Raw genomic sequence first — 13,362 nt, forward strand, 5'->3', positions numbered from 1 at the left:
ACGCTGACATAATGATGACTGCAGATCTAACATTCTCTGAAGGCCTATTATATGCCAGGCATTTCATACAGTTTCCTGCATTTACTTCTCACAATACAGTCTTGTAGGTTATATATGGTCATACTCATTTTATAGATGAATGAACCAATTTGACCTCACACTTCTTATGAGCAGGAAATCCAATTCTTTTGCTATTATATTGGGTCCACCCTTTTAGATGACGGACTTCCAGGGCAAAGTAACTGATTATGTCAAATCTTCTCATTATGTGACCTGTCCCCAACCAGAATCCATTGAATATTCACTGAACACCATCCCTTGATGATGATGATGATGATGATGATGATGATGATGATGCTGTTGACAGCAATGATGGTGGTAGAGAGGACATTTTCTGTTTGACCTAAGAGTCTTATGTCTGGGGGCTACATGAATGGCCAGGTCTCTCAGAAGGTAGTTATCCTCCAAGAAAGAGGATAAATAATTTATACAAGGTCACATACCAATAAGGAGAAGAGCCCAAATTGGAACCCAGGTTTATCCGACACTACGGCCATATACTTAAATCACTTTTTTCCTTCCTAAACCCAAGGATTTGAATTTCATCTTTGTCTTATTGTTCAAACAATCCTTTAGGCTGTCAGAAATTTGGTAATGTTTCCTCAGATGACAGACCTAAAGAGCAAGGCTCATAGTTGGATTACTTTCTGCATGATCAACGCCTTAAAAAGGCATCTTCACACCAATTCAGTTTGACTGTCCTGACCCCCAAGTCGTGAGCTGGGCCTGCAGTGCATGTGGGTTTTCAGATAGGAGGGGACACCCGTTTTCTCCTGAGTTATAAGACCACATGTCTTTACAAGTTCCCTTTACCTGGGGTCTCCTGTGCTTCAGGGCCTGGGCTGGCTCAGGCATCAGATGCTCTGCACCAGGAAGACACAGAGCTAAAGTCCTTGCAGAACCAACCAAACAGGCCAGGGCACATCGAGGCCCTTCTGGGAGTCTGTGCAAGGTGGGTGGGAGAGGGATGGGTGAGGTTTTGTGTGCTGTCTAACTCTGTTTTTGCCCCAGTTGTCTTGTGGGCTACTTCACCGAACTCTGAGAGAAGGGTCAGCCCCTTCTGCTTCAACCCCAAGTTACCTGGTCAGACCTGTTCAGACCTGTTCAGACATTTGCTTGCTCAAAGATTATCCCAACCAATGTTTTCAACTGGGAAGTTATGGAGCTTTTTCTTTTCCCCTACAAAATGTTCCCCAGAAGAGAAAGGGAAAAGGAGGGAAAGGCAAAGTGCTCTGACCTGAAATAGGACAGTCATCCTCCTCCACATGTGTATGTCCAGGATAGCCTGGCCATTAGCCTTAGGAGAACCTAGTACCTGCTGCAGACTGGAGTGGAGGGACAAAGTCAGAAGTGTTGCTTGGGCCAACCCTTTAACATCCTGTCTGAGCACCACCCTCTGGGGGCTGTGCGGAGGATTTATCCTTTCTCGTAAAACTGGTTCCGGTGAACCTGGAACTTTATCTCACTCCAGCTAGAATTCCAGTTTGACTAGCGCCTATCAGGCTGCCATCACCTTGAAGAATGGTCTGGAGACATGAAGATTCCCTGCAAATGACATCATACAGTGAAAAAATAGAAACAGAAGAAAGCCAAGGGCGCAGGGTTGGCTCAATTATTTTTTGAGATGATTACTAAAAGAGAATTTTGAATTTATTTCTGATACATTTTACTCATATTGGAAGGAGGCAATGCATGGCTAAACATGGTGTTCAGTCAATAAAAAGGCATCTTATGTTACATTCCTCCCCCTAGCTTTTTATCTTGTCTTTGTTAACACGAACCTTTTAAATTTTATGTATAGATGTGTCCATCTTTTCCTTTAAAAATTCATACTTAAAACAATAAATGCTTGTATAGGCCTTCTATTTCCTGAATGTCAGTAAGCACTCACCAAGATTTCCTGCCAATTATTTTATAGTTAATATTTGTAATAATGAAAAGCATACTGTATTACTAGTGGTTCTCATTCTTCAGTCCATATCATTATCACCTGGAGGAGTTTGCAAGCTATAATTTTACAGTCTACCTCCAGAATGTGGGTCAGTGGGCCTTATGTGGGGCCCAGACATCAGCATTTTCAAGATGCTCCCCAGCAGATTCTGATGCAGGTGATTATGTGAGATACTTTTATAATAAAACATTTAGAGTACAATCAATTCTCTGCCCTGTTTCTTCTTGGAATTGCTTGTCATAACTCTAGAGAACTAAAGACTTGTAGATTATTCAGCGAGTAACCTAATTTGGACAAACCTACTAGCTCTTAGTAGCAATCAAAAAATCAATTAAATATTAAAACACAATGTGCCAGTTAAACACATACAAGTATTCATATGTGGGATACCAAGAGGAAGAGACAGTCTTTGCTTGTTCTACAGGGGAAATATAATCTCTAACATTTATATAGTAGCATTCTACTTCAAGTACATTTACAAGGTTCTTACTGACTTTGAAAGTTTTTTTTAACCACAGGTCAACAGAAGAGATGGAATTAAGGGGACTGTTCCTTAGATCTGTTCCCTGCATCACTTTGTGCAATTTATATATGTTCCCCAGCAGTCTTCCGAACCAGTAAGTCAGGCCTGCCCAGGAGCCTTCAGGAAGAGATCATCCCACGAGGACAAAACCTCATTCCTTAGACTTAGAGCAAAAACTGTGATTACAACAGGTCTTTGACTCAAACTTATACCCCAGTCCAAATCCCAAATGGAGTCATCACATCTGACTCCTATGGAGAAGAAGGGTCTTGTGATTGAAAACAGAAGGGTTATTTTGCTAAGGGCTCTGAAAGACCTTGTGGCCCAAGCAACCCTAGAGAAGTCCCACCTGTGTTAAGTGTCACTATAAAGCAGAGAGAAGCTTTAGAAGACAGTGAAAGTTCAACCTACTGAGGACTCCAGGGAACTCGGTGGGGTTTTGGCCCTCAAGGACTGCAGTGCATCAGCAGTAGTGGGGCCAGCAGGGAGCACAGCACTCAGCAGAAGAGGCAGCAGTGTTGGGCAGGCATGGCAGGAACCAGGGGAAGAGACAGGGTTCAATAGCAGAGGACTGATAGGTAAGCCCCCACCTCTGCCTACTGGACTTGATCCTGAGTACAAGTTGCATCATGCCAGGCCCTCCCTTAAATATTGGTGCTTCTATAGTGGGTTGGGATTCCGTATGCACAGGTGGGAACAAGATCTCACTGAGCACAGCTGTTACTGCCTCATTTCTTCCCCACTGCAGCCCTGTGAAGCAAATATTTTCCCCATGAAAAGACTGAGTCTTAAACGTGTGTATCTGTAATAATTGCCAGTTTATTCCTCTGGCTAAGAGATCCAGAGGTAATTTGAGGTTTACATTTCTTTTTAAAGTTCTTTCATCAAGAGTTTAGGTGCCCCCATTGCCCTCATAAGCTGGTTGCAAATTATTTGACTCTTACTTGTAAAAAAAATCCTTAATTCTTTTTGTGTGTGAGACACGTGTTCATTAAAAAGTACATATAAGCAAAAAGAACAAAAAGAAGAAAACAAATAAAATTTCACACCACACAGAAATAAGCTTGGTTAAGTTTGTGATATATGTTATATGGATGTATGTATACACACACGCACACACACAAAGTTTGGAATTTTATCCTACATATGTGAGCTGATATTAAATATGCTGCTTTGCCATAACCTGTTATGTTTTACTTTACAACATGGAATGAACATATTCCCATGCAAATGTGTGAAAGTTTCCAATTGAAAAATAGACCTGGAAAATGGGTCAAAATCCAAAATCCAATGAGATGCTGGTACCAAGGAAATTACCTAAAACAAAATTTCATCAGATGATTAAAAGTAAAATGGAGGTCAAAGATACATCAGAAAATGCTAACAGAAAGAAAGCTGGGGCCAGATTTTAATATTAGGCAAAAATGAATTCAAGGCCTAAAGCACACAGGATAAGGACGGCTGCGTGAATGTCTTTGCTTCCAATGCATCATCACAAACTTGTTTCTTACTCTTCTTATCTCTTCCCTAAGCCTTTCAAGCTCATCTACTCCTCTTATCATTTCTTCAGGGTCCAAATGCCTAACGGGTGTGTCCTCTTTAAATCCCTGGCCAGGCTGATTCGGCCCTCCTCTGGGGTTTCCTTCTGCTTCCTGGCTTACGCCTTCTTCGGAAGGTTGAGGATTTCCTTCTGCCTCCTGTGGTACATCCTCCAAAGGGCGATCTTCCTCGGCCTTTGGCATGTTCTGTGGTTTTCCCTCATTTTCTTCACAAGACTTTTGCATATTGAGTATTTTTTATTTCCTTTTTGAATAAATTAATCCTAGAAAACAAGGAAACAAAACTACTAGATTCCAGGCAAACAGACCAGCAGTCAGAGTATGGGGTCCCATAGCGACTGGCCTTTTTTGACTCAGTACCCTAATTGTCAAAAGTTTTCCAACTAGAGAAAGCTGGATCCTCAGGCTCAGAACTCCCCTGACTCCACCTCCCTTCGCGCCCCCTTTCGTTCCAGCTCCATCTTTCTCCTCCTGCTCCTGCCCACCATCTTCCCAGCAGGCCCTGCTACAAGCCTCTCCTAATACTGAAATGGGAGCAGTACGGAAGCAATTAACCCTTCTCCCGCCTCTGGTCTCCAACACTCCCGCCCTTCAGACTTTCCCAGGCCCTCTCAACCTCCAGCCTCTCACCTGAGACGGCTGGTCCAGTCTCTGGCCTCCCCTCCCCCTTCAGCGTCTCTTAAGCCTCCTCCTCCCCCGCCTCATTTCCGCTGCAGGCTCGGCACCGGCCTCTGGCACTTAATCCGGATGGGGAGGGGCTGCTGCGACCCCAGGATGTGCTTTGGTGTCACTCACACTTCCACCCCCACCCGAAGAGACCTGAAGCAATTGCACCTTTACAAAAACTGACCTGCAGGGATTCAGGGGATTTTCCTCTCTCTTCCCTCACCTCGATTTGTGTCGCGCCCAAAAAACCAAATATCCTGCAGACAGATGGGAGTGTTTGGTGAGCAGACTAGTACCTGGATCACGGGTCCCTTTCATGATTCTAGGCCATGTTGGTGTAAAGTTTCCCATGTCCTCATCCTCGCCCTCCTTTTATGGCAACCCCGCCCTCCTCCGTGCCCACCGTTTTTCTGCAAGCAGGGAGTAGGAAAAGCAAGTTTCTTCCAAACAGTTTCTATGTCTCTCTCTCAGGACCCTTAATTAGCTACCCTTCTCTCTCTCCACCCGCCATCCCCCACCAAACAGCCCCAAATTTCCTGCACAAAATGGGAGTTTGGCGGAACAGAAGTGGGGAAAGCAGTGCCGGCCCCGCTTGCTTTCTGCTCTCGGCCTCCTCGACCCCAGGGTCTCCAAGTCAGCGCCCACGTTTATACTAACCTGAAAGGATCTTGGGCACTTTTCTCCTTCTCCAGCAATAAGGAGCTGCTACAGGGAAACAGGCCCTGGACTATAAGGACTTCTGCACACGTCGACTCCTGGTCACGTGAGAGTCGCGTCATCACTGAGCTCGAGTCCCCAGTTACCCCTCCCATTAACACTGCAGCCCGCCCGCTGCGTTCCCTCCACTTGATACTGTCAATCTTTTTTCGTATTTGCCAATCGGAGACAATAAACTGTTATCTTCGCCCTGGAGTATTTATTCGCCTTTCTCAGATTACCAGGAGGATCAGCCTTTTAGGGGTAATCGACCATTTCTCCTTCTTTGAGGAATCATCTCTTTCTTCTGCTCCCAATACTCCCACCTCCCCTCCTCCAAGACCCCTACAGTCCACCATTTCCCCTGGAATCCTATCCAGCATTGAAATGGGCAAAGGTGGTAGATCGGGAAGAGGGGGCTGGAAAAGAATCTAAGGTTGAAAGTGGAGGATTTGACTAATCCTCTTGAATAGTTTTCTGTTGTGTTCTATGTTTTCAGCAATCAGCATACTTTTAAAAATGGTATCAGAAAACGGATGCCTCATAAGCAATATGTAACACTTAATATGAAGGACAAATTAGTTATATCAATGTGTAAGACTTTGGAAAAGTTTTCTAATGGCTGGAAATGAAATGACAATATTCACAACATATTGATGTGTTAGAATTTTTTAAAATCTTACCAAACAGCACTTAAAAAATTGACTCCCAAATTAATGTGTGGAAGGAGGCCTAGTTTTCTCTTGTTAGCAATTTTGTATAGGTAATCTACTACTCTTTCTATTTCTGGCAGAACTCAAGTTATCAAGTGTTGGATGTCTGATCTTTTTCATTGATGACCACTGGTGGCATCCACTAAGGTTTCACTTGGAGGCTTCAGACAGACTTCCTCCCCATTTCCTCTATAGGATTCAGTATCTTGTTAATCAGATAAGTCCACAGAAAAGCCTGCTTTCCACTGAGTAAAATTCTTTTGGAACTCAAAGTAGTATGTTTCTTGGAAAACATTTCGTTGTTGGGAAATAACTCATACACTCATGAAACACTCAGAAAAGAGAATTCTCTGTATCTCACCATCAGGCTTGAGGCTTCTTTGCATGGCATTTTCATTCATGGCACTCTTGAGATAGTCTGGTATCATCCACTGTGTCCCATTAAAAGAACTATTGACATGCATAATTGTTATGATTAGAAAGCAAAGAGAACAACATTGCTGTAAAAAATAATATTAAACAGGAAACTGATATCCCTGCAACTCAGAATCCACTGGTACTTGGAAGGATGGTGGTGCCTGGAGTGGCATTCTGGCCAATGGAGCCAGCTGGAGAGTCAGAAGAAGACAGAGGGGGTCTTTTGTCTAGGGTGGTCACAGCAGGATGCCTTAGCCAACAAGAACACCCACCAGAGAAGAGAAAAGAAGGTTTGGAAAAAATAAATATTTTTTGGACTTAATGATTTATAGTTGAAGCATGACAAATTTCTTCCACACTTGAGGGATAAATGTTCTATTGTTTGAGAGAGAGCTTTTAATATAAATATAACTAGCAAATTATAAAGATTTAATCATTGCCTATCACCAAATGTTTCCACTCTTTTAAATGTAACCATTTAGTGAGGAACAACTCTGATCTTTTAAAAGAAAAATCATCAGCAGCAAAATGGACTTTGTGTGTGTGTACACTTCTATGAAGTTTAACCAATGTATAGATTTGTTTAACCACCACTGCAATCAGAATACAGTTCAATCACCCCCAGAAACTCCTGCATGCTGTCTCTTGTAGTCCTATTTGACTGCCTTCCCTAAACTCTGGCAACCACTAATATATTCCCCATTACTACACTTTTGTCTTATTCAGAATATTATGTAAATGATTTCATTTTTCAATTTTTGTGCACTGGCTTCTTTTGGGACTGGCTTCTTTCACTCAGCATAATGCCCTGGACATCCATTTGAGTTGTTGCATGTATCAATAGTTTATTCTCTTTTTTGCTGAGTAGTATTCTGTTATTTAGCTATTCCACAGTTTGCTTATTCATTCACCTGCTGAAGGACATTTGAGTTATTCCCAGCTCTAAGCAATTATGAAAAGAACTGCTGTAAACATTCATGAACAGATTTAGGCCATTGCTTCACTTCTGGACTTCCTGCCTCCAGCGCCTCCCTCTCTCCCTTTAATCCACCTTACACATTACCTTGTCCCTGCTTTCAACAGTCATTCTCCTGCTCAGTGACCCTGGATGGTAACCGCACCACTCACCAAGTAAATCCTATACTCCTTATCTTGACATTCAGCCTCCATCAGAATTGAACCTCAGGACATGTTTCTAGCCTCATCATCTCCTTCTCTGCCCCATCCAAAATAAACCCTTACTTCATTGTCTACAGAAGCAGTGAGATCAAATTAAAAATTAAAAACTAATAATAATAAACAACCCTTAGTCACTGTGCCCAAGCATGCCTTATACTTCTCTCTTTGTCCTTGTTCGTCATTATCTTGTTCCTGATTGCCCTCCTCTTCCTCCTAGATCCTGGTGCTGCTCATTCTTAGAGGTCAAGACCTAATCACCCAGCCTCTGAAGCTGGAAGTGATCTCTCCCTCCTCTGTCATTGCTGCACATGAAATCTGCACCCTTCGTGTAACCCTTAACAAAGGTTACCTTGTACCTTTCCGTGTGTGTGTGTGTGTGTGTGTGTGTGTGTGTGTGTGTTGGGGGTGGAGGGTATCTAACCAGGAAGATGGTCAGATGTGAGTTGAGGGTAGGGAGCAAGGATCAGGCTCCAGCTATTACGCTTCTTTAGTGGCTCTAGTAATGTTAAACAGTGGGTCTCTCAGAAATCTCAGGGTCTCAGAAAGAGCTGTTTGCCATTTGGCTCACAGACAAACTTCATTTTGCTTGCACAAAATTGAAGCAGAAGTTTCATTGTACTCTCCTTTACTTATTCTGCTTTACATATAGCCACAGCAATATTAATACCATGTTTATGGAGCTATTGGCAAAGGTTATTGACCTTGTCTTCCTAAATACTCACAGTAGAGATTAGTTAGCTCACTGGTACACACCTGACAAAGAGCCAGGTGATACAGGCCTTCACCTTCATCCTTGTTCCGGGGCAATTTCAGTGTGTCAATACAACACTCAGCTACCTTTGAAATTAAGTCAATCAGAGTAGATTTTAAATATAAGTAAATTTTTGAAAATAGCATTCTACTGAAGTAAAAACTATCTTTTTAAAAAGGAAAGAAAAAGGTGTACACATTAATTTTAACAATAAGGATATGAATTCTGGAGAGTAGAAACCCTGGGCCTCTGAGCCAATCAATGTCCTGTTTTTGTGCACCAAGAGAGCACTAGAGATAGTTCCAAAGTCCAAAGTCCTTCAGGTTATGTGAGAGGAGGAGAAAGCAGTCAGCATTTTACCATTTGAGTATCCAGAAAGCTCTTATATAAGACTATAGTATCCAGAATATTGTTTTCTATGTTCCTTCCATAGTCTTGTGTTCTGATACTCTATATTTAGCAACTCCTCCTGCATTTTTTTTCATTGCTCTTTCAAAGGTCATCCCATAGAACTTGAGCTGACCATTCTTATCTATCACTTCTTTAGCATGATCTGTACGGCTTGAAAGCATCACTCCTTACATAGCAAAGTCTTCCCCAGATCCAAAGTTTTAGCTACCAGATCCTAAGGTGTGCACTCCAGCAGCCTCCATCTGAGATGATTTGCCCCTTCAGAATGAAAGCAGATTCAGCACATTCCATCACTTTGCACAACCAAGGGTAGTCCACCAACGTTTTGGCGCAACTAGTACACACAGAGCCTGGGCTTATATCTACTTAGATTGTTTGTGCTCCAGAAAGAAGAAACTCTTCTGCCATCCTCCGTCACCACATTCCCTGACATAATGGTATGTTTTTCAAGTTTGGCAACAATACATTTCACAACGTATCTGGATATTCTGCAAAATATCCAGAATAGTCACTGGCCACATTTAGGTAAGTGAATATAACTTGAAGCACAGCTTGTATGATACTTATGATCTTTTCCACATGATTCTGTACACTGCCTGAACTCACAGCTAAATGCTGCATACATTGTAGATGATTGTGACGTGAAGTTTCTAGTTATCCAGAACATAATGCTTATGAATTGCTATGAACCTAAAGTGCTGTGTCATAACTACTGCCATTTCAAATGTCCCTGAGTGGGTTTACTTGGACTTATTTTTCTGAGACAGAGTTTCACACTGTTGCCCAAGCTGGAATGCAGTGGCATGATAACAACTCGCTGCAGCCTTAACCTGCTGGGCTCAAGCCATCCTCACGCTTGTCCTCCCAAAGTGCTGGAATCACAGGCCTGACCATCATGCCTGACTGCTTAGACTTTTAATATGCAACAGCATCCTCAAGATCCACCTCAGCAAGATTTTTGAGATTGCTTTTCTTAAGGCTTGAGGTCTGCATCTATGTAGAGGATCATGCTGGGTTGGTGGAGAAGCACATCTCAGCTGGCTGGGCAACTCTTTCCTGTGGCAGAAGCACAGTTGTGGGGGAGAGTGTGCTGTTGCTGCAGATCAGGTGCTTTTAAAAATTCAGTTTATAATGCAAAGAAAGCTTTATCTGACCTCTTGATTCTGCATTAGTTGCCAGTGCTACATGATTCTTTAGTCTCGGTATTTACCCATCCTAATACTTTCACCCTGTTTTGTTGGCTTTCTACTTTGTATCCCTCTCTAGTCTCCAAGTGCTACAAGGACAAAAACTATATCTGGTTCAACTTTGTAAACCATTCCAATGTGGAAATGTCAAGTTGGTGGAAACAATTAAAATTTCCATTAATATGGGAATTGTTAAATAAATTATAGTGTGGAAATTTTTCAGATACAAAAAGGAGTAAAATTATGCACACATAGTGACGTGAAATTGTATTAAAGCTATATTTTTAGTGAAAAAAGTGGCAGAACACTATTTAGAGAATAGTTCCATGCATATATACGTATAACACATACATATCTATGTATGCAACTAGTTTAGTAAATAGTTCCAATTTTTGATATAAATATGGAATTGTTTCATGTTTTTTTAGAAATTGCTGTCAATTGTGATCTGTCAAACCCCCCTTTCTCACTAGATAATAAATTTCTTTAATGACACGTTCACTTATTTCCTCAACTATTAGGTCACTTTCATTCATTAAGAGCTTTATTTTGAATTCTTAAGATTCAGTCTGTACCAAAGGCATCCAAAGAGAAGGAAAAAGAAGTCTGGTCTATTTTTTAAACGTTTCATTTTGAAATAACTTTAGCTATAAGGAATGCCGCAGTTTCCATATACCTTACACCCAACTTTGCCTAGTAATTATGATACATTTATAAAAACTAAGAAGTTACCATTTGTGCACTGCTATTAAATAAAAACGATTCATTCACCAGGTTTTCTACTAATGTCCTTTTTCTGTTCCAGGATTCAATTCAGGAAACAATGTTGCATTTAGCTAACATGTCTATTTAGTCTACCCTGTGCCAGTTTCTTGGTCTTCCCTTGTTTTTCATTACCTTGACACATTTTAAGAGTGAGGTATTTTGTAAAATGTTCCTCAGTTTGGGTTTTCTGATGTTTTCTTATGATTAGATTGGGATTTTTGATTTTGAGAAAGAATGCTACAGAGGTAAAGTGCCCTTGTCTTCTAATGTCAGGATTATATGATATTAGAACGAATTATCACTGATGATGTTAACTTTGTTCATTTGGTTAAGGTTCTCTTCTGGGTTTCTCCACTTGTAAAGTTACTACTTTTCCCTTTTCATACTCTTATTTGTTAGAAGCTGGTTTCTAAATGTAGCCCATACTAAAAAGGTGGGGAATTAAACTCTACCTCCTAGAGAGAGGAGTGTCAATGAATTTGTGAATATATGCTTGAAAACAACTACAGTAATCAATAAATACTTGGGGGCAAATAATTTAACACTATGCAAATATACTATGAATTTTACCTGTAGCAATTACTAACTACTATGATGTGCTGATGGTGATTTTTTAAAATATCCCTCATTGCTTTTACATTTAATATTTCAAATTACCCCGTAAGAAGACTTTCCCATTCTCCCCCACCCTATGTATTTATTGATACAATTATTTGTTTCTGTCAGTATGACTCAAGGATTTTAAAAAATTATTTAGGCTATAATCCAATACTATCATTTGTTATTGCTATTGCTGTTCAAATTGTTCGAGCCTTGGCCATTGGGAGCTCTTTCAGGTGGGCTTTCTTTCATCCTTTTTCTGTCTCCTTGCTTTCTGGCACTACAAGATGTACCAGGTTCATCTTTTATCTTCCTTTTCCCAGCCCTTTGATCAGCCATTTCTCCAGGGAGTCTTGGTTACTTTAATTGGATAATCATATTTAGTAATTAAGATCTGGGCGTTGATTGTGCTGGTTACTATTAGGGTGTCATTGATTCTAGGGCTTCTCAGTTGATAGATAGAACAAGTAGATACATGTGTATATGTATACTAAACTGTTTATACACACATACTTGCATATATATTAATTATATATACACATATATAAGCTCATACTGACACATTGACTCTAATCCATTACCACAAGTATTCATCTAGCTTTCTCATCTCTTGCTTATTTTTACCTTCTATCTCTGGCAGTGAGAAACCTGGTTCTTCTTGTCTATCATTTATTTACTTATTTAATTCTAGTGTATAAAGTAGTTTAAAATGGCTATCATGTACCCCCATGAGAAATAAACTTCCCAACCAGAATACAACATTTATGTAGTTTTTTCTTGAGCTTTACAGTATGCAGTCAAAACAGTGGTTTCCAAAGCAAATTAGGTCAGCCCCTTTTTCCCACACCCTTTTCAGTGAAGTTATGTCATACATCTGTGATACAGTGAGATTCATGTGCCACAGTATGCTTTCCATTTTGGGTTCCCCCTACATTTTTAATTGACATAAAGCAAAGTCACCTTTCATGTTTTGGTGGTTCTGTGGAATTCAACACATTCACAAAGTCATGCATCTACCACCATAGTATCTATACAGAAGAGTTTTAGTATCCTGAAATTTCCCTTGTGTGGTGCTTTTGTAGTCAGCCCATCTTCCCATCTCTACCCCTGGCAGCCTCTGTTTTGCATCCCTATAAATTAGCCTTTTCATAATGTCATGTAAATGAAATTGTACAATACACATCCTTTTGAGTCTGGCTTCTTTCACTTAGCAATATCCATTTGAGATGCATACTTGAATCAGTAGTTTGTTCCTCTTCATTACTGAATAGTATTCCATTGTACAGATGTACCACAATTTGTTTATATTTTCACCAGCTGTAGAACACCTGGGATATTTCCAGTTTGGAGAAATTATGAATAAAGCTGCTATGAACATTTCTGTACAGGTTTTTGTATGAACATATATTTTAATTTCACTTGGGTAAATACCCTGAAGTGGCATTGCTGGATTGTGTGGCAATTGTATGTTTAACTTTATAACAAATTGTCAAAATGATCTTTAAACTGGCTGTAACATTTTGCATTCCAAAGAGCAATGAATGAGAATTTCTTTTGTTCCACAGCCTCGCTAGAATTTGTTATTTTTTCATTTGGGGATTTTCATTTGTTTGTTTACTTTATACCATCCTAAGTTTACAGTATCTGTTTACAGATCTGTTTGTGGTTTTAATATGTATTTCCCTCATTACTCACGATGCTAAGCATCTTTTCACGTGCATATCTGTTGTCTGAATATATACTTTAATGAAGTCTCTGTTCATATCTTTACTTCCCGTAGCCTTTTTTGGGGTTTGCTTTTCTATTATTGGGTTTTAAGAGTCATTTATTTCTTCTGGATAAAAATCTTTTATCAGATATGTGATGTGCAAATATTTTCTTCTA

General features: G+C 40.4%; 1 protein-coding gene and 1 pseudogene across 2 annotated transcripts, besides 1 other annotated feature; both read right to left on the reverse strand.

Annotated features, from left to right (window-relative positions):
- TCEAL8 (transcription elongation factor A like 8) lies at window positions 3,334-5,494 on the reverse strand. Of its 2 annotated transcripts, NM_153333.3 has the most exons (3): window positions 5,417-5,494; window positions 4,944-5,016; window positions 3,334-4,356 (listed from the first exon to the last, which is right to left on the reverse strand). In NM_153333.3, the coding sequence occupies exon 3, from the start codon at window positions 4,316-4,318 to the stop codon at window positions 3,965-3,967; it is 354 nt and encodes a 117-aa protein (NP_699164.1). In that variant the 5' UTR covers window positions 4,319-4,356; window positions 4,944-5,016; window positions 5,417-5,494; the 3' UTR covers window positions 3,334-3,964. The 2 variants fall into 2 exon arrangements, with proteins under 2 accessions (NP_699164.1, NP_001006685.1); NM_001006684.2 differs by lacking the exon at window positions 4,944-5,016.
- Window positions 5,431-5,480: an enhancer, noted in NCBI's record as "active region_29816". NCBI's record gives its function as "activates an Ori minimal core promoter by ATAC-STARR-seq in GM12878 lymphoblastoid cells {active_cell/tissue: GM12878}" and the evidence as "EXISTENCE:reporter gene assay evidence [ECO:0000049][PMID:35858748]".
- LOC100420653 (guanosine monophosphate reductase pseudogene) lies at window positions 8,909-9,657 on the reverse strand (annotated as a pseudogene).

The sequence above is a fragment of the Homo sapiens genome, chromosome X (assembly GCF_000001405.40).
Source record: "Homo sapiens chromosome X, GRCh38.p14 Primary Assembly".
NCBI classification, from domain to species: Eukaryota; Metazoa; Chordata; class Mammalia; order Primates; family Hominidae; genus Homo; species Homo sapiens.

Coding starts and splice junctions, on each gene's coding strand:
- TCEAL8 (NM_001006684.2), bottom strand. CDS start 4,318: ATGCAAAAGTCTTGTGAAGAAAATGAGGGAAAACCACAGAACATGCCA.